The sequence below is a fragment of the Homo sapiens genome, chromosome 11, assembly GCF_000001405.40.
Source record: "Homo sapiens chromosome 11, GRCh38.p14 Primary Assembly".
In the NCBI taxonomy this organism is placed as follows: domain Eukaryota; kingdom Metazoa; phylum Chordata; class Mammalia; order Primates; family Hominidae; genus Homo; species Homo sapiens.
The window spans coordinates 5,268,345-5,282,040 of NC_000011.10; the positions used below are offsets into that span (position 1 = coordinate 5,268,345).

Sequence of the window (13,696 nt, forward strand, 5' to 3'; positions counted from 1 at the left end):
TTTTTGATTACTGAAGAAAATGTACTTTATTAAACAGAAGGCTTTCTCTCAAGGCCAAGCCCAGTCCCCATGTGCAGAAGGAGGGTGTCAGGGTCACAGGAACACCTGCAAACTGGAAGAGAACTCAGTGGTACTTATGGGCCAGGGCAATGGCGACAGCAGACACCAGCTTCTGCCAGGCAGCCTGCACTTCAGGGGTGAACTCCTTGCCAAAGTGAGTAGCCAGAATAATCACCATCACGTTACCCAGGAGCTGTTAGGCAAAAGACAAAATAACACACAGGCATGTTGAGTAGAAGTTTCCGAAAACAACTTGATGAAAAAACAAACAAACAAACAAAAACGGCTTTATACCTACATTCCTAGACAACCCTGACCTCAAACTGTTCCAAGGTTTGTGCCCACCCAAAAAATTCAGATGAGCTTAGGTTCAATTTTATTCTATGAGCCCTACATTCAACATTCTACCTACCTACACCCTCACCCCCTTCCCCATTTTACCAGTATTATTGGGTTCCCTCTCTCCCTGTTTTTCTTTAAGCAATTGTCTAATTTTTGTAAATGTAGAATGTGAGTGCTGCAAGAGTTCTCAGCGGGAGTTTAAAATCCCCAACAAATTCGGAAACAAGCCTTCACTTGGTCACAATACTGATGGGAAATTTAACATATTTTAGAAAATGTGTCTTATTTTTCTTTGAGCAAATCTTTTATTTTTTTTGCAAAAATCTCTTTCTAAACCTCAATTATCATGACCCACATAAAATAAGGCATTTCTATTTCCTTGAAATGGACTTTCATCTACCAAAAGCCAAATTTCATTCTTCTTTCACAAGTCTACAATTCTATAATACAATTCTCTGGGATAAACACATCAAGTTCTGGCAAGATTTCCTGAAAAGTTAAGCCAATTCAGGCTGTTAGTAGTCCTTTACTGTCACTAGTTCTGAATCATGTAAGTTTTGGTTATGCTCACTAGAAGTCTGCTGTTCTAACATCAAGCTCGACCCATGATTTCTGAGATCTTTGTTGGTCTTTCCAATAAGATTATGAGCTTCAATTAATGTCAAAATATAAAGCCAAAAAATCACATCACCAGCACCTGAACTCACCTTGAAGTTCTCAGGATCCACATGCAGCTTGTCACAGTGCAGCTCACTCAGCTTAGCAAAGGCGGGCTTGAGGTTGTCCATGTTTTTAATAGCATCTCCAAAGGAAGTCAGCACCTTCTTGCCATGGGCCTTGACCTTGGGGTTGCCCAGGATGGCAGAGGGAGACGACAGGTTTCCAAAGCTGTCAAAAAATCTCTGGGTCCAGGGGTAAACAACGAGGAGTCTATGAAATGACACCATATCAGATACAAAATTAGAGATGCAAAAAATCTTGAGGACTTTCCCAATCAACTTGCTAGGGTAATATTCACCCTTCATTCCCATGCATTGAGAACCAATGCTTACCTGCCCAAGGCTTCACCTCCAGCCTCTTCCACATTCATCTTGCTCCACAGGCTAGTGACGGCAGCCTTCTCCTCAGCAGTAAAATGCACCATGATGCCAGGCCTGAGAGCTTGCTAGTGATTGCAGCTGTGTCGGAAGCAGATATGTGCTGCTGCCTCTCTGTCTGGCCTTTTATTCTTTACTGCCGAAGTTCTGGCCCCCTGTTCTCCATGGTACTTAAAAGTCATTGGTCAAGGCTGACCTGTGTCCCTCAGGGGTGGAGTCAGGTCCGGAGAGGGTCAGCAGTGATGGATGGACACTAAGTTTGTGATAATGTGTGCTGGATCCTGAGGCTCTTTTTTGTTGGCTCCTCATCTATCTGCAACACAAATTTCCATTTGTCCCCTTTTTTACCCTCTTCATCATCTTCCAAAATGATATCCATCTCTCCCATTCTCCTTTTCCAAGAAAGCCTCATATAAAGGAGCAAATCTCAAAATAGGAAAAAAAGTTTCAGCCAAAGCGCATTTAACATTTGCCTTAAAGGTGGTGACAGTGACAAAAACAGGGCCAAGGAAAAGAAAATAAAGCTGTTAAAACAGAATCTCACCCAGTTCTAGCTCTCTTAAGGAGTGCATTGTAAACAAAACTTCTGTACCTTAGTTTCTCTAGGGAGACAAAAACCGTACATAGTTCCTTCTAGAAACTGAACAGAATAGCAAGTAGTCCACAGTGGGACTAAAGCCTTAATCCCAAAGTACAGTACCTTGGGGTGATTCCCTAGAGAGGACAGACAGAAAAGATTACATCCAGTGCTTCCAGAGAATCCTCTCTCTTTTCATTTCTCTATGACCACAGGGGACATTGGCTACTTTGTGAGTATTGCCTGGGGCTCTCTTCTTGCTTGCCTGTCTGTCCTGCTTATACTTCTCACTGGGAAGGGAGCTGAGAAGCCTAAAATCCTAAAATTATTTAAAGCCAGAATTTGTCATCAAACAGAGAAAAAAGTGAATCGATATATTAATCAGGCTAGGAGTCAGGGTATATTATTCCTCTAGTGTCCTTTTTTTTTTCTGTATGTCCCCATTTTGATGACTTGCTAGCTCTTTACTTGGTAGAGCTGAAACTGGAAGTTGGGATTTACAGTGTATTCAATTCGATCCATGTGCCTGAAGAATATTGCTCATGCTATATCACTTAATCTGCCCTTATAATACCATTGTCATTATCCTCATATTTTAGAATCAAGGAATAAATTCACAGAAATTATTTAACTATCAATGTGACAGAAGTAATGATTGGGGGAATAATAGAAGCAGAGTTCCACAAATTCCAGCATTGTTAATTCTATAAAAGTCCCTTACATCACCATAATCTCATTGCCCCAGCCCAGTTCCTCCTTCTGGCTTGTTCTACATCCATTTATTTTTTCTTTTTTCTTTTTCTTTTCTTTCTTTCTTTTTTTTTTTTTTTTGAGACGGAGTCTCACTCTGTTGCCAGACTGGAGTGCAATGGCACTATCTCAGCTCACTGCAACCTTCGCCTCCTGGGTTCAAACGATTCTCCTGCCTCAGCCTCCCGAGCAGCTGGGACTACAGGCGCATGCCACCATGCCCAGCTAATTTTTTTATTTTTAGTAGAGACGGGATTTCACCATGTTTGCCAGGATGGTCTCGATCTCTTGACCTCATGATCTGCCCACCTCTGCCTCCGTCTCCATCCATTTCTACCATTTCTTTCTCCTATGGCTCCCCTTGCCCCACCAGATCTAGGAATTTCTGTTCCTACAATTTCCTGTATGTTCAGGCCCTAGAGGTTCTTCGTCTTTTTCACTTAGCAGTATGGCTCCTGTCTCCCAAGTCAAGTGCCTTTGGGGATTCCATATTCCAAGTTTACTAAGAGCGTTTCTCTCTTCTATAACCTGACTTTGTTATTTATTATATTTTCTTATGTTTGTGATAAAAAAAAAAAAAAAAAAAAACACTTGTGGCAAGTAAGAATGTCTCCCTTGCTTTTCTCCCATGATTCCAGAAGTCTTCACCTGACTTAATGACTGCCCAAATTGTTATTATTCCAGGCCACTGAATTTCTACTCCATTTTCTTTTAGCTATTAACCAATGGTATCTTTCTGAGCATATATTCTAACCATTGGCTAACACAGACAAAACCAGGAATTCCTAAACTTTTTTTGTGTCACAGGCCAGTTTGGCAGACTGTAAGTGCTAAAAAAATATGTTTTTATTGCATCAAATAATATACATAGGAGTGCTAAGTTTAATTACACTGAAATATCATTATCAGACATCAAACATTACATTTGTGGTATAGTATTTATTATATTTGCTTCTTTATGAAAGCATTAGATCTAGGATTGGGTCTACAGCTACCTTAAGATCCAAGTAGTGATGCAGATAAATGTGAATTAAAAATATCTGCAATGGGCCAGGCGTGGTGGCTCACACCTATAATCCCAGCACTTCAGGAGGCCAAGGCGGGCAGATCATCTGAGGTCAGGAGTTCAAGACCAGCCTGGCCAACATGGCGAAACCCCATCTCTACTAAAAATACAAAAATTAGACTGGCATGGTGGCAGGTGCCTGTAATCCCCAGCTACTCAGGAGGCCAAGGCAGGAGAATTGCTTGAATGCAGGAAGGGGAGGTTGCAGTGAGCCGAAATCATGCCACTGCACTCCAGCCTGGGCAATAAGAGCGAAACTCCATCTCAAACAAAAACAAAAACAAAAAGATCTGCAATACCTATGGTGTAGTATGAAAATATCTGTGGTTTCTCTTTATAACTATGCAATAGGTACTGATGATGTCATTCTAGTTTGTCCTTTGCATTCAAAGTAGAAGAAAATGCTAAATTTCAGTTACATGTAAGTAAAAATACAGATTTTTTTTCTATAAACTTCACCAGCCCCCTAGTGTTCTGTGGACCCCAGATTAAGACTTCCTGGGACAAAATATATAGCCTAGGAAGACAAGATCCTAGGTTTGGAAAGAACGTATTTGATCCACTGAAATAAAAGAACAATGACTAGACAAAAAGCAGCTCAGCTGCTTGTAGCTTGAACCAAGCTGAGCTTGGCTACTCAGAGAAGAACAGTCGTTGAGATAATATAATTTTTTTTAACCAATTAAGATACAGCTCTGGGTTTTCAGGGGGAATTTGCTACAGATCCACAGTATGAAGGCAGTGGCCCTTCCTCAGAACTTGAATGTGAGGGTCAGACATTGCCAAAGTCCAAGGAATAAGGACCAGGTATCTCAAGGCCAAGAGTTTGGAGAACAGGTTTCTCCCTAAAACAAGCCCTATGGGTAATCCCATCATTCTTCCCATTCAGAGTATGGACACCAGTCTTCTCTTAGATTCAGAGTATGGGGTTGATCCTCTCCTGCTCCCTCGGAGCCAGTTGCAGAGCCCACATTTTCTTCTCTCCTTACTGCCTATGGTTCCAGACCTGGCTTGCATCCAGGGATCTGACCCATTCCATGTTTCCTTATGGCTAAAGGTGGTAGGGAGGAGCTTCAAGAAAGGTTATAGCATTGAAAGGCCCAGGTTTGTGTCTCAGTAACAAGGCTTATAAATCCTGACTCAGAAGTCAGGTAGGCTGCGGGCAGTCTCATTATTGCTTCGATGCTTGTTGGTTCAAGATAAATTGCTTCACCTGCTCATTTTTAAGCATTTTATTTGTTTATCATATGAGATACCATGAAAAATGGATTATTGCTTTTCTTTCCTATATTAAAAGCCCAAAGTTCAGAGAGATAAGTGTTATGGCCATCCAGGATAGATCAGAAAGATTAGACAGTCAGAAAAAGTAATCAGTAAGAATATTCATTTATTGTCTATATAATTAAAATTAGTAAAATAAAATCTATGTATGTCTTAAGACATTTAAGTATAAAGGACTTTTAGAAAGAAACACCCAAATTCGATGAAGATTAATTCCTGCCTGTTTGGGTTTGCTTTAGCATTTGTAATTTCTTAAGTTCTATGCAGGATTCTAAAAACTGTAAGATGCCTAATTTAAACAAGGAAACATCCAATATTTTCTTAAATCTTTCTGGCTAATTTATGACATATGTTTAACCTGAAGAGTCAAATATTGTACTGTTCTTAGATGCTATTAGTATGAAAAATTATATAAATTAGATTCTTGTTAAGTAAAGTAGGCCCTTCACTTCACTGAATGTTTTTCATGGTATTATCTAAGAAATAAATACTTTAATGAATATTCTTTACCACAAATAACTTACTTTATTTTTATTTTTAAAATAGGAAAAATATAAACAAGGCTTGTAAACCACTGATAGGAAAAGAGCTGCTTAGGATTCTAAATTAGCCAGATTTTAAATTATTCTGCTTCCATTATGTATCTAAATCTATATTCTCAGAACAAAAATAGATGTAAGCAAATGATTCTACTAGATTTTGTGTTAGATTTTGCATTATCCAGGAATGACTTGGATATCACAAGTCATAAATTCTGTGGCTGCCTTGCAGGAAGCCTGTGGCTATTTTCTAGTGTAATTGTAAAGAATGAGAGAATAGACCATAACAAGTGTTCAAACTGTTGCTTTCTTGTTTTCAACTTTTATTTTAAGTTCAGGGGTACATGTACAGGATGTGCAGGTTTGTTACATAGATAAATGAATGTCAAGGGGGTTTGTTGTATAGATGATCTCATCACTCAGGTATTACGCTTAGCATCCATTAGTGATTTTTCCTGATCCTCTCCTTCTCTCACCCTCCACCCTCTGATAGGCCCCAGTATGCGTTGTTTCCCTCTATGAGTCCATGTGTTCTCATCATTTAGCTTCTAACTGTTGCTTTCGTAGTGTACCTCTGCCTCATCTCTCACGAAGTTTGCAGGTGAGTTTGAGCCAGGGCTGAGGCTCATTCTCAAGAGTAATCTCTCTCTCTGGCAACTTGGAGCACAGACATCCTATTGTGTGACTGACCTCGGGAGCCACTGTGCCTAAAGTACAACCAGAGTTACTTGTGAATGTTAATTAAGCAGGAGGGATCTTTAATGGGAAAAAGGAGTAGAAAGCCAGAATCAGCCAGTTATGCCACACTTTCCTACATGATGGGCACTGAAGGTTAAAACTTGAGTCTGTCAACTTAGAAAACTCATAAATATCCCATTTTCCGCTGAAATATAGCTTTACTTTCCTGGTTTCTTTGACCTTTTGGGACCTTGAGTAAGTAAAGATGCCTTCATTTATTTTCATGATTAAAATTCTAAGAAATTCTTGGGTTTTTTTAATTAAATTGCATTGCCTAATGTATTTATGAACTAAGAACATAGAAATAAAACAATACTCTGAAGTAGTTCAGAATGTGCTTTCAATTTATATAAAGAGTTAATTCAAATGAGACTATTTTAAGTGCAGGGCTTTGAATCTTATGTCTAGAAATTTTGAAAAACCTCTGATTATATGCTAAGATTCCACCTCTAGTGCTAGAACTGAGAAGTCCTTGACTTGGTGATCTTTTTTAAATTCTGAAACAACAGCAACATAAAGCTAAGGACTTTTTCTTGCCTATGCATGCTATCTTCAGTACTTTGATTATTTAGTATTGAAACTATAACATAGTATGTTTCCTGAATAAAAAATGTGTATTTCTCTGGAGAAGGTTAAAACTGAGGATTGGCAAGTGAGCAAGGCTTAAATGGAAGAAGCAATGATCTCGTCAGACCACCTTCATTAACGAGATCATCCATCATGAGGAAATATGGAAAACCAGGCCCCCTCTGTTTTGTGTCACTAAGGGTGAGGATGCTGAATGATTTTTCCCTCCCCCGGGCTTCTTTTAGCCATCAATAATTCTAGCCCCACAGGAGTTTGTTCTGAAAGTAAACTTCCACAACCGCAAGCTTATTGAGGCTAAGGCATCTGTGAAGGAAAGAAACATCTCCTCTAAACCACTATGCTGCTAGAGCCTCTTTTCTGTACTCAAGCCTCATTCAGACACTAGTGTCACCAGTCTCCTCATATACCTATTGTATTTTCTTCTTCTTGCTGGTTTAGTCATGTTTTCTGGGAGCTTAGGGGCTTATTTTATTTTGTTTTGTTTTCTAATCAACAGAGATGGGCAAACCCATTATTTTTTTCTTTAGACTTGGGATGGTGATAGCTGGGCAGCGTCAGAAACTGTGTGTGGATATAGATAAGAGCTCAGGACTATGCTGAGCTGTGATGAGGGAGGGGCCTAGCTAAAGGCAGTGAGAGTCAGAATGCTCCTGCTATTGCCTTCTCAGTCCCCACGCTTGGTTTCTACACAAGTAGATACATAGAAAAGGCTATAGGTTAGTGTTTGAGAGTCCTGCATGATTAGTTGCTCAGAAATGCCCGATAAATATGTTATGTGTGTTTATGTATATATATGTTTTATATATATATATATGTGTGTGTGTGTGTGTGTGTGTGTTGTGTTTACAAATATGTGATTATCATCAAAACGTGAGGGCTAAAGTGACCAGATAACTTGCAAGTCCTAGGATACCAGGAAAATAAATTACATTCCAAAAATTTAACTGAGACTTTAAAAAAAAAAAAAAAACAAAAAAAAACCAGTGATCCATGGACACAGGGAGGGGAACATCACACACTGGGGCCTGTTGGGGGTGGGGGGCTAGGGGAAGGATAGCATTAGGAGAAATACCTAATGTAGATGACGGGTTGATGGGTGCAGCAAACCACCATGGCACATGTACCCCAGAACTTAAAGCATATTAAAAAAACAGTGATCATAAAAGAAGCTCAAATTTAACTATAAGAGACGGAATGGCTCCCACAATTCTTAACTATAATCTTACAGAATATTCTCATTGAATAGAAGTATGCTTATCATTAGAGATTTGGACAGCCAGGAAAGCACAGAAAAAAAAAAAAGGAGCTCTGTTGCCTTATAGCCTAGAGGTGTTTTGAACCTCACATAACACTGATGTCCAGGCCAAGGCCATCCTTCCCATGAAGATGGATGAATAAGCCATATCTGACACCTATGAAATAATGTTTACTTTAGTGGCATATTGCATTAGGCTACCTGCCTTGGCACAGTTTTTCTTTACTTTTACCTGACTGATGAAACAATTAATTGCTTACATAAACATGAGTGCTCTAGTTATAAATTCCAGTGTAAAAAACACCCTGGTTTCGATATTCATCTTTTGAGCCTTTTATTTTGGTCAGAACAAGTTTTCAAGAGCAAATCTCAGCCTACAAAACAAATGAGTCCAATTCTAGAACTCAGTAATCCCATCAAGGCTCTGCCTGCGGAGGGCTAACTAGCTCTATGCAGGCTTAGCACTTCCAGCTCTACTCCACTGATTTCTTTGTGTGTGCATAGCAGTGGATGTGTCAGCATACATCCTTTTAATTATAGTTGTATATGTGTTTGACTGCTCATTCATTCATTCAAAATTGTAAAATTGCTAAGAATACAGCACAAAAACAGAATAGAGGAATAAAGTTCCTGTTTTCATGGACTTGATAGTGGAAAGAGCTTGACATTAAATAAGCAAATGAAACATGTTATATACCAATGAGATTAGGTGCTATGGAGAAAAAAAAAAAACTGAAATGAAGGCCAGAGTGTGATTAGGACAGGGTGAAAGGGTATCGCTACTTTAAGTAGTATGGCAGGAAAGTCCTCACTATAAAGTTAACACCTGAGAGAGTACCCATAGATGATGAGGAACCCATTTATATGAAACTATGATTAAATATTTAGGGCATAGGGAATGGCAAATGTAAATACCCTAAAGATGTAAGATGCTTAGAATTTTCAAGGAATATCAATAAGGCCAATGTAGGATGAGATTCGGTGAAGGGGAGAATAAAAGATGAGATCATAGAAGTCCTAAATTATAAAATTTGGGACACTAATAATACCTACATCATAGAGTTGTAAGAAAAAACACTCTACACACATACACATAAATATATATATTTATTTATATGAGAGCTATATATATGTATCTGTAATAAACATAATATATGCATGAACAACTATTGTAGAGAATTGTAAGGATTTGGTTTTATTATAAATGATATAGGAAACTATCAGAAGACTTTGAACAAAGAGGTGACCATATATGACTTACATTTTGAAAAGACTAATTTGGATAGTATATTGGGAAGAAATTGTAGTGGGGCAGTGGTAGAAGCAGGAAGATTGTTATGAGTCAACAGCTATAATTTAGGTGGTGGTGACAGTGACTTAGACCAGAGTGGTAGCATTGGAGGTGAAGGCAAGGGGTCAGCCTCTGAAAACATCCTTTCACGAAAAACCAACAGGATTTTCTGACAGAGAATATGGAATTGGTGTGTGTGTGTGTTGCACTCATGCACACTCTAGTGCATGCTAATTTCTGGCTGTGAGTATATGTCAGAGTAAGGATTTTGAAGCTAGGCAAAGTGAGTCTTTGGGTTGAATTTTGTCAAGGTGTTTGTTCATCACAGTCTCTACCTCAGAATTGGCTTTAAAATTGGAAAGCTGGGTGGGTGGATATGGAAATGAGAAACCATCTCTGGAGCTTGTCTACACATCATACCTTTAGCCAAAGTGACATCAAGTATTTCTTGGATGCTGACCAGAGGCTTCTGAGCCAGGCCCCTCTAGCTGAAGGAAGTTCACAGTTTCTTTAAGGAGGGAAAATGGTAGATAAGTCAGAGAACAATCAGACAGAATTCTGTTCGGTCAGGGAATTTGATGGGTTTTGTTTGTTTGTTTGTTTGTTTGTTTTCGTTTTTCTTTAGACAGAGTCTCGCTCTGGAGGCTGGAGTGCAATGGCATGATCTCTGCTCAGTGCAAACTCCACCTCCCCGGTTCAAGCGATTCTCCTGCCTCAGCCTCCCAAGTAGTTGGATTACAGGCTCCCGTCACCACGTCCAGCTAATTTTTATATTTTTAAGCAGAGACCAGGTTTCACTATGTTGGCTGGGCTGGTGTCCAACTCCTGACCTCAAGTGATCTGCCCACCTTGGCGTCCCAAACTGCTGTGATTACAGGAGTGAGCCACCGCACCTCAAGGAATTTGATGTTTAGGCTGTGACCTCTGCACTAGGAATGGAAGGTTAGCCACTCCCACCCCACCCTTCGTCCTGCAAGTACCCAATCACACTGCAGAGCCACACCTGCCTTCCTTAGAGGCGTGCCTCCATCCCTGATGAGTTTTTCCTCCATGTGTAGAATTGAATAAGAAGGATAGAATTCAATTTAACAAGCTTTGAGTACTTCCTATAGCCTAGGCATTGTGCTGACAACTATGTTAGAGAGAGAAATAGACAAGCTATAAACTTTTCCTCAGGACCATCTACATAATTTCTAGGCCCAATATAAAATGAAAATGAATAGCCCCTTTGTCAAAAATTAAGGATTTCATGTCAGGAACAGCAAGGATGTTAAACCAAGCATGGGGCCATCAAGCTATATCTGCTATTCATGATACGAAAAAATAAAGAGTATTCTAGTTATTTAGCCACATATTTCAAGTTTAGTCTGATATCACCCTTTAAACACTGCCACTCAACCTAAAACAATGCTAGTCTTTCTAGACCCATCCATGGAATTTTTTCCCCACTGTTTTTTTTCTAATTAATTTGTGATTTAAATGGCTCATATTCCAGCCTGTGCCACAGTTATTACACATTTAACTCACTCTCTGTATTTTGTTATCTGTATAAATACTCTTCAGGTTGATTTCCTTTCTTAATGTTTGTGTTTATGTTAGATATGCATCATGTAGCCTGTCTTCATTTCTATCACAAACATACACTTGAACCAAAAAGGAAGTTTTTACATAGCATCACTAAATCTTCTCTCTGTGCTCTTAGCGAAACCAAGTAGGCTGACAAGACATCATTCATTCACAGCGAAACCGAGTAGACTGACAAGAGGTCATTCATTCACAAATGAATACAAAAAACAGTGTCAAGTATACGTGAGGTCCTGTAATGGGTCCTGGGCCTGCAAAACCCTCACAGCTGCTAACCTCAAGAAGCTCAGTGGAGACATAACATTCATCTGAAAATTCCTTGCATGTCTGTTGAACTAATTTATCTGCCTCTCCTTAAATTTGTTCCTTTTTGTATAGTTCCTTAAGTCATGTCACATTTCTGAAACATCTTTGCCACTGTGAACTCCTACAGAAGCCAGCTTCAAAGCCATTCTTCTGGAAGCCTTCTCTATCCCCTTGACCTCCTGTTTTTTCTCCCACAAGCATTATGTCTGTCTGTCATTGTTTTTCATCCTCTTGTAGTCCTTCACAGTTACCCACACAGGTGAACCCTTTTAGCTCTCCTGGAGGAATGTTTCTTTCCTCTCAGGATCAGAGTTGCCTACATCTTCCTAATGCACCAAGACTGGCCTGAGATGTATCCTTAAGATGAGAGCTTCCCAGTAGCACCCCAAGTCAGATCTGACCCCGTATGTGAGCATGTGTCCTCTAACAGCACAGGCCTTTTGCCACCTAGCTGTCCAGGGGTGCCTTAAAATGGCAAACAAGGTTTGTTTTCTTTTCCTGTTTTCATGCCTTCCTCTTCCATATCCTTGTTTCATATTAATACATGTGTATAGATCCTAAAAATCTATACACATGTATTAATAAAGCCTGATTCTGCCGCTTCTAGGTATAGAGGCCACCTGCAAGATAAATATTTGATTCACAATAACTAATCATTCTATGGCAATTGATAACAACAAATATATATATATATATATATATACGTATATGTGTATATATATATATATATTCAGGAAATAATATATTCTAGAATATGTCACATTCTGTCTCAGGCATCCATTTTCTTTATGATGCCGTTTGAGGTGGAGTTTTAGTCAGGTGGTCAGCTTCTCCTTTTTTTTGCCATCTGCCCTGTAAGCATCCTGCTGGGGACCCAGATAGGAGTCATCACTCTAGGCTGAGAACATCTGGGCACACACCCTAAGCCTCAGCATGACTCATCATGACTCAGCATTGCTGTGCTTGAGCCAGAAGGTTTGCTTAGAAGGTTACACAGAACCAGAAGGCGGGGGTGGGGCACTGACCCCGACAGGGGCCTGGCCAGAACTGCTCATGCTTGGACTATGGGAGGTCACTAATGGAGACACACAGAAATGTAACAGGAACTAAGGAAAAACTGAAGCTTATTTAATCAGAGATGAGGATGCTGGAAGGGATAGAGGGAGCTGAGCTTGTAAAAAGTATAGTAATCATTCAGCAAATGGTTTTGAAGCACCTGCTGGATGCTAAACACTATTTTCAGTGCTTGAATCATAAATAAGAATAAAACATGTATCTTATTCCCCACAAGAGTCCAAGTAAAAAATAACAGTTAATTATAATGTGCTCTGTCCCCCAGGCTGGAGTGCAGTGGCACGATCTCAGCTCACTGCAACCTCCGCCTCCCGGGTTCAAGCAATTCTCCTGCCTCAGCCACCCTAATAGCTGGGATTACAGGTGCACACCACCATGCCAGGCTAATTTTTGTACTTTTTGTAGAGGCAGGGTATCACCATGTTGTCCAAGATGGTCTTGAACTCCTGAGCTCCAAGCAGTCCACCCACCTCAGCCTCCCAAAGTGCTGGGATTACAGGTGTGAGACACCATGCCCAGATTTTCCATATTTAATAGAGGTATTTATGGGATGGGGGAAAAGAATGTTTCTCTCACTGTGGATTATTTTAGAGAGTGGAGAATGGTCAAGATTTTTTTAAAAATTAAGAAAACATAAGTTGGACCTTGAGAAATGAAAATTTATTTTTTTGTTGGAGGATACCCATTCTCTATCTCCCATCAGGGCAAGCTGTAAGGAACTGGCTAAGACACAGTGAGACAGAGTGACTTAGTCTTAGAGGCCCCACTGGTACCCAGATGAGAAGGCACCTTCATCACTCATCACAGTCAGCTCTGCCTTTCTCCTCTCTCCTTTCTCATCAGAAATTTCATAAGTCTACTAGGGTCAGGCAGATCACATAAGAAAAGAGGATGCCAGTTAAGGTCTGCAGTGAGTATGAGCCCATCCCTGATGAATTAAGGCAATCAACACTTTAGGCAGCCATGTTGCCATGAGAGATTAGGAGGGGCCAAATGAGCCCAGAAATACCACCTACTTCTTAGATGATCTTGAGCAAGTTGCTTAACTTCTTGAAGTCTCTGAAATATAGGATGATAATATGTATTAGCTAATAGAATTATGAGGATGAGATTAGTTTATTGTGTAAAGAACTAGGGACACAGTATAT

The 13,696-nt window shown here is 39.8% G+C and overlaps 1 protein-coding gene across 1 annotated transcript, besides 57 other annotated features; it reads right to left on the reverse strand.

Annotated features, from left to right (window-relative positions):
* HBE1 (hemoglobin subunit epsilon 1) lies at positions 1-1,601 on the reverse strand. The gene is made up of 3 exons (NM_005330.4): positions 1,455-1,601; positions 1,110-1,332; positions 1-253 (listed from the first exon to the last, which is right to left on the reverse strand). Exons 1-3 carry the CDS (start codon positions 1,544-1,546, stop codon positions 125-127), a joined length of 444 nt encoding a protein of 147 aa, NP_005321.1. The 5' UTR covers positions 1,547-1,601; the 3' UTR covers positions 1-124.
* Positions 1,581-1,777: a promoter, noted in NCBI's record as "+19 to -177 p-epsilon-delta177 construct fragment lacking the silencer region". NCBI's record gives its function as "epsilon gene (HBE1) minimal promoter" and the evidence as "EXISTENCE:reporter gene assay evidence [ECO:0000049][PMID:2748586]".
* Positions 1,581-3,049: a promoter, noted in NCBI's record as "+19 to -1450 p-epsilon-GLCAT construct fragment". NCBI's record gives its function as "epsilon gene (HBE1) full promoter" and the evidence as "EXISTENCE:reporter gene assay evidence [ECO:0000049][PMID:3456225, PMID:4048224]".
* Positions 1,581-13,696: part of a biological region, named in NCBI's record as "beta-globin locus control region", that runs on past the window's edge. NCBI's record gives its function as "regulatory_interactions: HBB | HBBP1 | HBD | HBE1 | HBG1 | HBG2 | LOC107133510 | LOC110006319".
* Positions 1,599-2,066: a transcriptional cis regulatory region, noted in NCBI's record as "range from the chr11.787.32 to chr11.787.2.2 gRNAs in the HBE1 promoter region targeted for Mosaic-seq CRISPR perturbation". NCBI's record gives its function as "positively regulates HBE1 gene expression in K562 erythroleukemia cells {active_cell/tissue: K562}" and the evidence as "EXISTENCE:mutant phenotype evidence [ECO:0000015][PMID:28369033]".
* Positions 1,627-1,633: a TATA box, noted in NCBI's record as "based on paralogous and orthologous beta-globin promoter alignments". NCBI's record gives its function as "epsilon gene (HBE1) TATA box" and the evidence as "EXISTENCE:sequence alignment evidence [ECO:0000200][PMID:6985477]".
* Positions 1,680-1,684: a CAAT signal, noted in NCBI's record as "based on paralogous and orthologous beta-globin promoter alignments". NCBI's record gives its function as "epsilon gene (HBE1) CCAAT box" and the evidence as "EXISTENCE:sequence alignment evidence [ECO:0000200][PMID:6985477]".
* Positions 1,777-2,058: a silencer, noted in NCBI's record as "-182 to -467 AflII-BamHI fragment". NCBI's record gives its function as "epsilon gene (HBE1) silencer" and the evidence as "EXISTENCE:transgenic organism evidence [ECO:0001131][PMID:1737096]".
* Positions 1,778-1,992: a silencer. NCBI's record gives its function as "epsilon gene (HBE1) silencer" and the evidence as "EXISTENCE:reporter gene assay evidence [ECO:0000049][PMID:2748586]".
* Positions 1,851-1,894: a silencer, noted in NCBI's record as "-294 to -251 44 bp minimal silencer element". NCBI's record gives its function as "epsilon gene (HBE1) minimal silencer" and the evidence as "EXISTENCE:reporter gene assay evidence [ECO:0000049][PMID:1537556]".
* Positions 1,914-1,938: a protein binding site, noted in NCBI's record as "M-epsilon MAR SATB1 binding site". NCBI's record gives its function as "enhances transcriptional activity of the epsilon promoter" and the evidence as "EXISTENCE:protein binding evidence [ECO:0000024][PMID:15618465]".
* Positions 2,447-13,696: part of a locus control region, noted in NCBI's record as "21.5 kb ClaI-BglII fragment from -1 kb to -22.5 kb; includes 5'HS1-5'HS5", that runs on past the window's edge. NCBI's record gives its function as "regulates developmental expression of the beta-globin genes" and the evidence as "EXISTENCE:transgenic organism evidence [ECO:0001131][PMID:3690667]".
* Positions 4,694-6,637: a matrix attachment site, noted in NCBI's record as "2 kb AvaII pGSE228 fragment c SAR". NCBI's record gives its function as "associates with the nuclear scaffold" and the evidence as "EXISTENCE:fractionation evidence [ECO:0000100][PMID:3208739, PMID:2559410]".
* Positions 6,854-7,789: an enhancer, noted in NCBI's record as "5'HS1 or HS1-3' enhancer fragment". NCBI's record gives its function as "enhancer in K562 erythroleukemia cells {active_cell/tissue: K562}" and the evidence as "EXISTENCE:reporter gene assay evidence [ECO:0000049][PMID:20231293, PMID:17548470]".
* Positions 7,325-8,152: an enhancer, noted in NCBI's record as "0.8 kb NcoI-HindIII fragment deleted in the delta-5'HS1 beta-YAC transgene". NCBI's record gives its function as "enhances epsilon- and gamma-globin gene expression in embryonic and fetal stage transgenic mice" and the evidence as "EXISTENCE:deletion mutation evidence [ECO:0005510][PMID:17433733]".
* Positions 7,401-7,958: a DNaseI hypersensitive site, noted in NCBI's record as "5'HS1, also known as HS1, HSS1, HSI or -6.1 hypersensitive site; predominantly erythroid; the nucleotide coordinates are approximate for this feature". NCBI's record gives its function as "necesssary for position-independent and copy number-dependent activity of the LCR in transgenic mice" and the evidence as "EXISTENCE:in vivo cleavage assay evidence [ECO:0001075][PMID:2370867, PMID:3879975, PMID:3480506, PMID:3690667]".
* Positions 7,410-7,731: a transcriptional cis regulatory region, noted in NCBI's record as "TAD1.SE1.HS1 sgRNA1-sgRNA3 range targeted for Mosaic-seq CRISPR perturbation". NCBI's record gives its function as "positively regulates HBG2 gene expression in K562 erythroleukemia cells {active_cell/tissue: K562}" and the evidence as "EXISTENCE:mutant phenotype evidence [ECO:0000015][PMID:28416141]".
* Positions 7,467-7,793: a transcriptional cis regulatory region, noted in NCBI's record as "range from the chr11.788.9 to chr11.788.4 gRNAs in the HS1 region targeted for Mosaic-seq CRISPR perturbation". NCBI's record gives its function as "positively regulates HBE1 gene expression in K562 erythroleukemia cells {active_cell/tissue: K562}" and the evidence as "EXISTENCE:mutant phenotype evidence [ECO:0000015][PMID:28369033]".
* Positions 7,571-7,704: an enhancer, noted in NCBI's record as "5'HS1 G fragment with strongest enhancer activity". NCBI's record gives its function as "enhancer in K562 erythroleukemia cells {active_cell/tissue: K562}" and the evidence as "EXISTENCE:reporter gene assay evidence [ECO:0000049][PMID:20231293]".
* Positions 7,573-7,585: a protein binding site, noted in NCBI's record as "probe G GATA-1 binding site". NCBI's record gives the evidence for it as "EXISTENCE:protein binding evidence [ECO:0000024][PMID:9657768]".
* Positions 7,590-7,679: an enhancer, noted in NCBI's record as "5'HS1 N fragment with enhancer activity; corresponds to the combined K and L fragments". NCBI's record gives its function as "enhancer in K562 erythroleukemia cells {active_cell/tissue: K562}" and the evidence as "EXISTENCE:reporter gene assay evidence [ECO:0000049][PMID:20231293]".
* Positions 7,608-7,626: a protein binding site, noted in NCBI's record as "L2 fragment or probe F GATA-1 binding site". NCBI's record gives its function as "necessary for efficient epsilon-globin (HBE1) gene expression" and the evidence as "EXISTENCE:protein binding evidence [ECO:0000024][PMID:20231293, PMID:9657768]".
* Positions 7,640-7,662: a protein binding site, noted in NCBI's record as "probe E Sp1/Sp3 binding site". NCBI's record gives the evidence for it as "EXISTENCE:protein binding evidence [ECO:0000024][PMID:9657768]".
* Positions 7,794-7,812: a protein binding site, noted in NCBI's record as "probe C GATA-1 binding site". NCBI's record gives the evidence for it as "EXISTENCE:protein binding evidence [ECO:0000024][PMID:9657768]".
* Positions 7,881-7,909: a protein binding site, noted in NCBI's record as "probe A GATA-1 binding site". NCBI's record gives the evidence for it as "EXISTENCE:protein binding evidence [ECO:0000024][PMID:9657768]".
* Positions 10,676-12,595: an enhancer, noted in NCBI's record as "1.9 kb HindIII HS2 enhancer fragment in the HS2-Ggamma-Agamma-delta-beta construct". NCBI's record gives its function as "intermediate rate globin gene switching in transgenic mice" and the evidence as "EXISTENCE:transgenic organism evidence [ECO:0001131][PMID:9002975, PMID:8692864]".
* Positions 11,437-13,322: an enhancer, noted in NCBI's record as "1.9 kb KpnI-PvuII HS2 enhancer fragment". NCBI's record gives its function as "acts in concert with the HS3 enhancer to allow stage-specific expression of the gamma- and beta-globin genes in transfected HEL and K562 cells; functions in globin gene switching in transgenic mice {active_cell/tissue: HEL | K562}" and the evidence as "EXISTENCE:reporter gene assay evidence [ECO:0000049][PMID:10196210]" and "EXISTENCE:transgenic organism evidence [ECO:0001131][PMID:9002975]".
* Positions 11,571-12,083: a matrix attachment site, noted in NCBI's record as "514 bp HS2 amplicon showing matrix enrichment in K562 cell EcoRI/HindIII-digested DNA fractions". NCBI's record gives the evidence for it as "EXISTENCE:fractionation evidence [ECO:0000100][PMID:12799453]".
* Positions 11,868-12,595: an enhancer, noted in NCBI's record as "BglII-HindIII HS2 enhancer fragment". NCBI's record gives its function as "enhances transcriptional activity of beta-globin genes" and the evidence as "EXISTENCE:reporter gene assay evidence [ECO:0000049][PMID:15979088]".
* Positions 12,004-12,183: a sequence secondary structure, noted in NCBI's record as "intrinsic bending region; epsilonB-16 DNA bend center flanking HS2". NCBI's record gives its function as "nucleosome phasing at HS2" and the evidence as "EXISTENCE:gel electrophoresis evidence [ECO:0000337][PMID:9837721]".
* Positions 12,140-13,696: part of an enhancer, noted in NCBI's record as "MfeI-HpaI HS2-HS3 enhancer fragment in the HS23ALL construct", that runs on past the window's edge. NCBI's record gives its function as "regulates beta-globin gene spatial and temporal expression in transgenic mice; synergistic regulation by HS2 and HS3 combined" and the evidence as "EXISTENCE:transgenic organism evidence [ECO:0001131][PMID:14636653]".
* Positions 12,140-13,696: part of an enhancer, noted in NCBI's record as "MfeI-MfeI HS2 fragment in the HS2ALL construct", that runs on past the window's edge. NCBI's record gives its function as "enhances beta-globin gene expression in embyonic yolk sac, fetal liver and adult bone marrow of transgenic mice {active_cell/tissue: yolk sac(embryonic) | liver(fetal) | bone marrow(adult)}" and the evidence as "EXISTENCE:transgenic organism evidence [ECO:0001131][PMID:14636653]".
* Positions 12,204-12,673: a DNaseI hypersensitive site, noted in NCBI's record as "5'HS2, also known as HS2, HSS2, HSII, -10.8 or -10.9 hypersensitive site; not exclusively erythroid; the nucleotide coordinates are approximate for this feature". NCBI's record gives its function as "necessary for high-level beta-globin gene expression and for position-independent and copy number-dependent activity of the LCR in transgenic mice" and the evidence as "EXISTENCE:in vivo cleavage assay evidence [ECO:0001075][PMID:2370867, PMID:3879975, PMID:3480506, PMID:3690667]".
* Positions 12,226-12,553: a transcriptional cis regulatory region, noted in NCBI's record as "range from HS2 gRNA 1 to HS2 gRNA 4 that also includes additional chr11.790 gRNAs in the HS2 region targeted for Mosaic-seq CRISPR perturbation". NCBI's record gives its function as "positively regulates HBE1 gene expression in K562 erythroleukemia cells {active_cell/tissue: K562}" and the evidence as "EXISTENCE:mutant phenotype evidence [ECO:0000015][PMID:28369033]".
* Positions 12,226-12,575: a transcriptional cis regulatory region, noted in NCBI's record as "range of 21 sgRNAs (Cr1-Cr21) in the HS2 region targeted for CRISPR/dCas9-KRAB perturbation". NCBI's record gives its function as "positively regulates HBE1, HBG1, HBG2, HBD, HBBP1 and HBD gene expression in K562 erythroleukemia cells {active_cell/tissue: K562}" and the evidence as "EXISTENCE:mutant phenotype evidence [ECO:0000015][PMID:26501517]".
* Positions 12,226-12,600: an enhancer, noted in NCBI's record as "0.4 kb HindIII-XbaI HS2 fragment". NCBI's record gives its function as "enhances transcription of the epsilon- and beta-globin genes in transfected K562 cells; EKLF-dependent activity {active_cell/tissue: K562(+EKLF)}" and the evidence as "EXISTENCE:reporter gene assay evidence [ECO:0000049][PMID:8662652, PMID:11158302, PMID:12582237]".
* Positions 12,236-12,246: a transcriptional cis regulatory region, noted in NCBI's record as "HS2 HSC site deleted in the deltaHSC transgene". NCBI's record gives its function as "weakly contribues to HS2 enhancer activity in transgenic mice" and the evidence as "EXISTENCE:transgenic organism evidence [ECO:0001131][PMID:8152905]".
* Positions 12,284-12,293: a transcriptional cis regulatory region, noted in NCBI's record as "HS2 USF site deleted in the deltaUSF transgene". NCBI's record gives its function as "required for maximal HS2 enhancer activity in transgenic mice" and the evidence as "EXISTENCE:transgenic organism evidence [ECO:0001131][PMID:8152905]".
* Positions 12,285-12,306: a protein binding site, noted in NCBI's record as "8790 E Box fragment that binds the bHLH transcription factor USF". NCBI's record gives the evidence for it as "EXISTENCE:protein binding evidence [ECO:0000024][PMID:8360172, PMID:8943307]".
* Positions 12,287-12,294: a protein binding site, noted in NCBI's record as "HS2 NF-E footprint". NCBI's record gives its function as "HS2 enhancer activity" and the evidence as "EXISTENCE:nuclease protection assay evidence [ECO:0001106][PMID:2000371]".
* Positions 12,302-12,316: a sequence secondary structure, noted in NCBI's record as "region of 5'HS2 that forms a triple helix with the beta-globin (L) tfRNA". NCBI's record gives its function as "forms a DNA-RNA triplex with a pyrimidine RNA from intron 2 of the HBB gene, resulting in attenuated transcription factor and RNA polymerase II binding to the LCR, and reduced expression of the espilon- and gamma-globin genes in transfected K562 cells, and the gamma- and beta-globin genes in transfected HUDEP-2 cells {active_cell/tissue: HUDEP-2 | K562}" and the evidence as "EXISTENCE:electrophoretic mobility shift assay evidence [ECO:0000096][PMID:30867287]".
* Positions 12,315-12,328: a protein binding site, noted in NCBI's record as "8762 E box probe". NCBI's record gives its function as "binds TAL1 in K562 and MEL cells {active_cell/tissue: K562 | MEL}" and the evidence as "EXISTENCE:protein binding evidence [ECO:0000024][PMID:8995271]".
* Positions 12,315-12,328: a protein binding site, noted in NCBI's record as "8762 E box probe". NCBI's record gives its function as "binds USF in K562 and MEL cells {active_cell/tissue: K562 | MEL}" and the evidence as "EXISTENCE:protein binding evidence [ECO:0000024][PMID:8995271]".
* Positions 12,349-12,358: a transcriptional cis regulatory region, noted in NCBI's record as "HS2 GATA1 site deleted in the deltaGATA1 transgene". NCBI's record gives its function as "required for maximal HS2 enhancer activity in transgenic mice" and the evidence as "EXISTENCE:transgenic organism evidence [ECO:0001131][PMID:8152905]".
* Positions 12,351-12,365: a protein binding site, noted in NCBI's record as "inverted GATA-1 binding motifs at HS2". NCBI's record gives its function as "necessary for activation of the epsilon-globin promoter" and the evidence as "EXISTENCE:chromatin immunoprecipitation evidence [ECO:0000226][PMID:18586828]" and "EXISTENCE:nuclease protection assay evidence [ECO:0001106][PMID:8995271]".
* Positions 12,351-12,537: a transcriptional cis regulatory region, noted in NCBI's record as "TAD1.SE1.HS2 sgRNA1-sgRNA3 range targeted for Mosaic-seq CRISPR perturbation". NCBI's record gives its function as "positively regulates HBG1 and HGB2 gene expression in K562 erythroleukemia cells {active_cell/tissue: K562}" and the evidence as "EXISTENCE:mutant phenotype evidence [ECO:0000015][PMID:28416141]".
* Positions 12,372-12,401: a protein binding site, noted in NCBI's record as "8711 E Box fragment that binds the bHLH transcription factor USF; weak binding compared to the 8790 E Box fragment". NCBI's record gives the evidence for it as "EXISTENCE:protein binding evidence [ECO:0000024][PMID:8943307]".
* Positions 12,372-12,401: a protein binding site, noted in NCBI's record as "HS2NF5 binding fragment; HS2 CBF1 binding site". NCBI's record gives its function as "important for optimal enhancer activity of HS2" and the evidence as "EXISTENCE:protein binding evidence [ECO:0000024][PMID:8943307, PMID:9727046]".
* Positions 12,375-12,392: a protein binding site, noted in NCBI's record as "8701 E box probe". NCBI's record gives its function as "binds TAL1 in K562 and MEL cells {active_cell/tissue: K562 | MEL}" and the evidence as "EXISTENCE:protein binding evidence [ECO:0000024][PMID:8995271]".
* Positions 12,398-12,403: a transcriptional cis regulatory region, noted in NCBI's record as "HS2 NF-E5 site mutated in the NF-E5S transgene". NCBI's record gives its function as "weakly contribues to HS2 enhancer activity in transgenic mice" and the evidence as "EXISTENCE:transgenic organism evidence [ECO:0001131][PMID:8152905]".
* Positions 12,408-12,425: a transcriptional cis regulatory region, noted in NCBI's record as "adjacent HS2 AP1/NFE2 sites deleted in the deltaAP1x2 (or NF-E2x2) transgene, or mutated in NF-E2 mutant enhancer constructs". NCBI's record gives its function as "required for maximal HS2 enhancer activity in transgenic mice and in induced K562 cells {active_cell/tissue: K562(induced)}" and the evidence as "EXISTENCE:reporter gene assay evidence [ECO:0000049][PMID:2235483]" and "EXISTENCE:transgenic organism evidence [ECO:0001131][PMID:8152905, PMID:2000371]".
* Positions 12,409-12,416: a protein binding site, noted in NCBI's record as "HS2 AP1 footprint". NCBI's record gives its function as "HS2 enhancer activity" and the evidence as "EXISTENCE:nuclease protection assay evidence [ECO:0001106][PMID:2000371, PMID:8995271]".
* Positions 12,409-12,426: a protein binding site, noted in NCBI's record as "HS2 AP1 site pair bound by NF-E2". NCBI's record gives its function as "forms HS2 by disruption of nucleosome structure" and the evidence as "EXISTENCE:protein binding evidence [ECO:0000024][PMID:1902783, PMID:8816476, PMID:2235483]".
* Positions 12,419-12,426: a protein binding site, noted in NCBI's record as "HS2 AP1 footprint". NCBI's record gives its function as "HS2 enhancer activity" and the evidence as "EXISTENCE:nuclease protection assay evidence [ECO:0001106][PMID:2000371, PMID:8995271]".
* Positions 12,480-12,485: a transcriptional cis regulatory region, noted in NCBI's record as "HS2 SP1 site deleted in the deltaSP1 transgene". NCBI's record gives its function as "required for maximal HS2 enhancer activity in transgenic mice" and the evidence as "EXISTENCE:transgenic organism evidence [ECO:0001131][PMID:8152905]".
* Positions 12,480-12,485: a protein binding site, noted in NCBI's record as "HS2 SP1 footprint". NCBI's record gives its function as "HS2 enhancer activity" and the evidence as "EXISTENCE:nuclease protection assay evidence [ECO:0001106][PMID:2000371]".
* Positions 12,774-12,798: a protein binding site, noted in NCBI's record as "HS2 M1-MAR SATB1 binding site". NCBI's record gives its function as "enhances transcriptional activity of the epsilon promoter" and the evidence as "EXISTENCE:protein binding evidence [ECO:0000024][PMID:15618465]".
* Positions 12,861-12,980: a sequence secondary structure, noted in NCBI's record as "intrinsic bending region; epsilonB-17 DNA bend center flanking HS2". NCBI's record gives its function as "nucleosome phasing at HS2" and the evidence as "EXISTENCE:gel electrophoresis evidence [ECO:0000337][PMID:9837721]".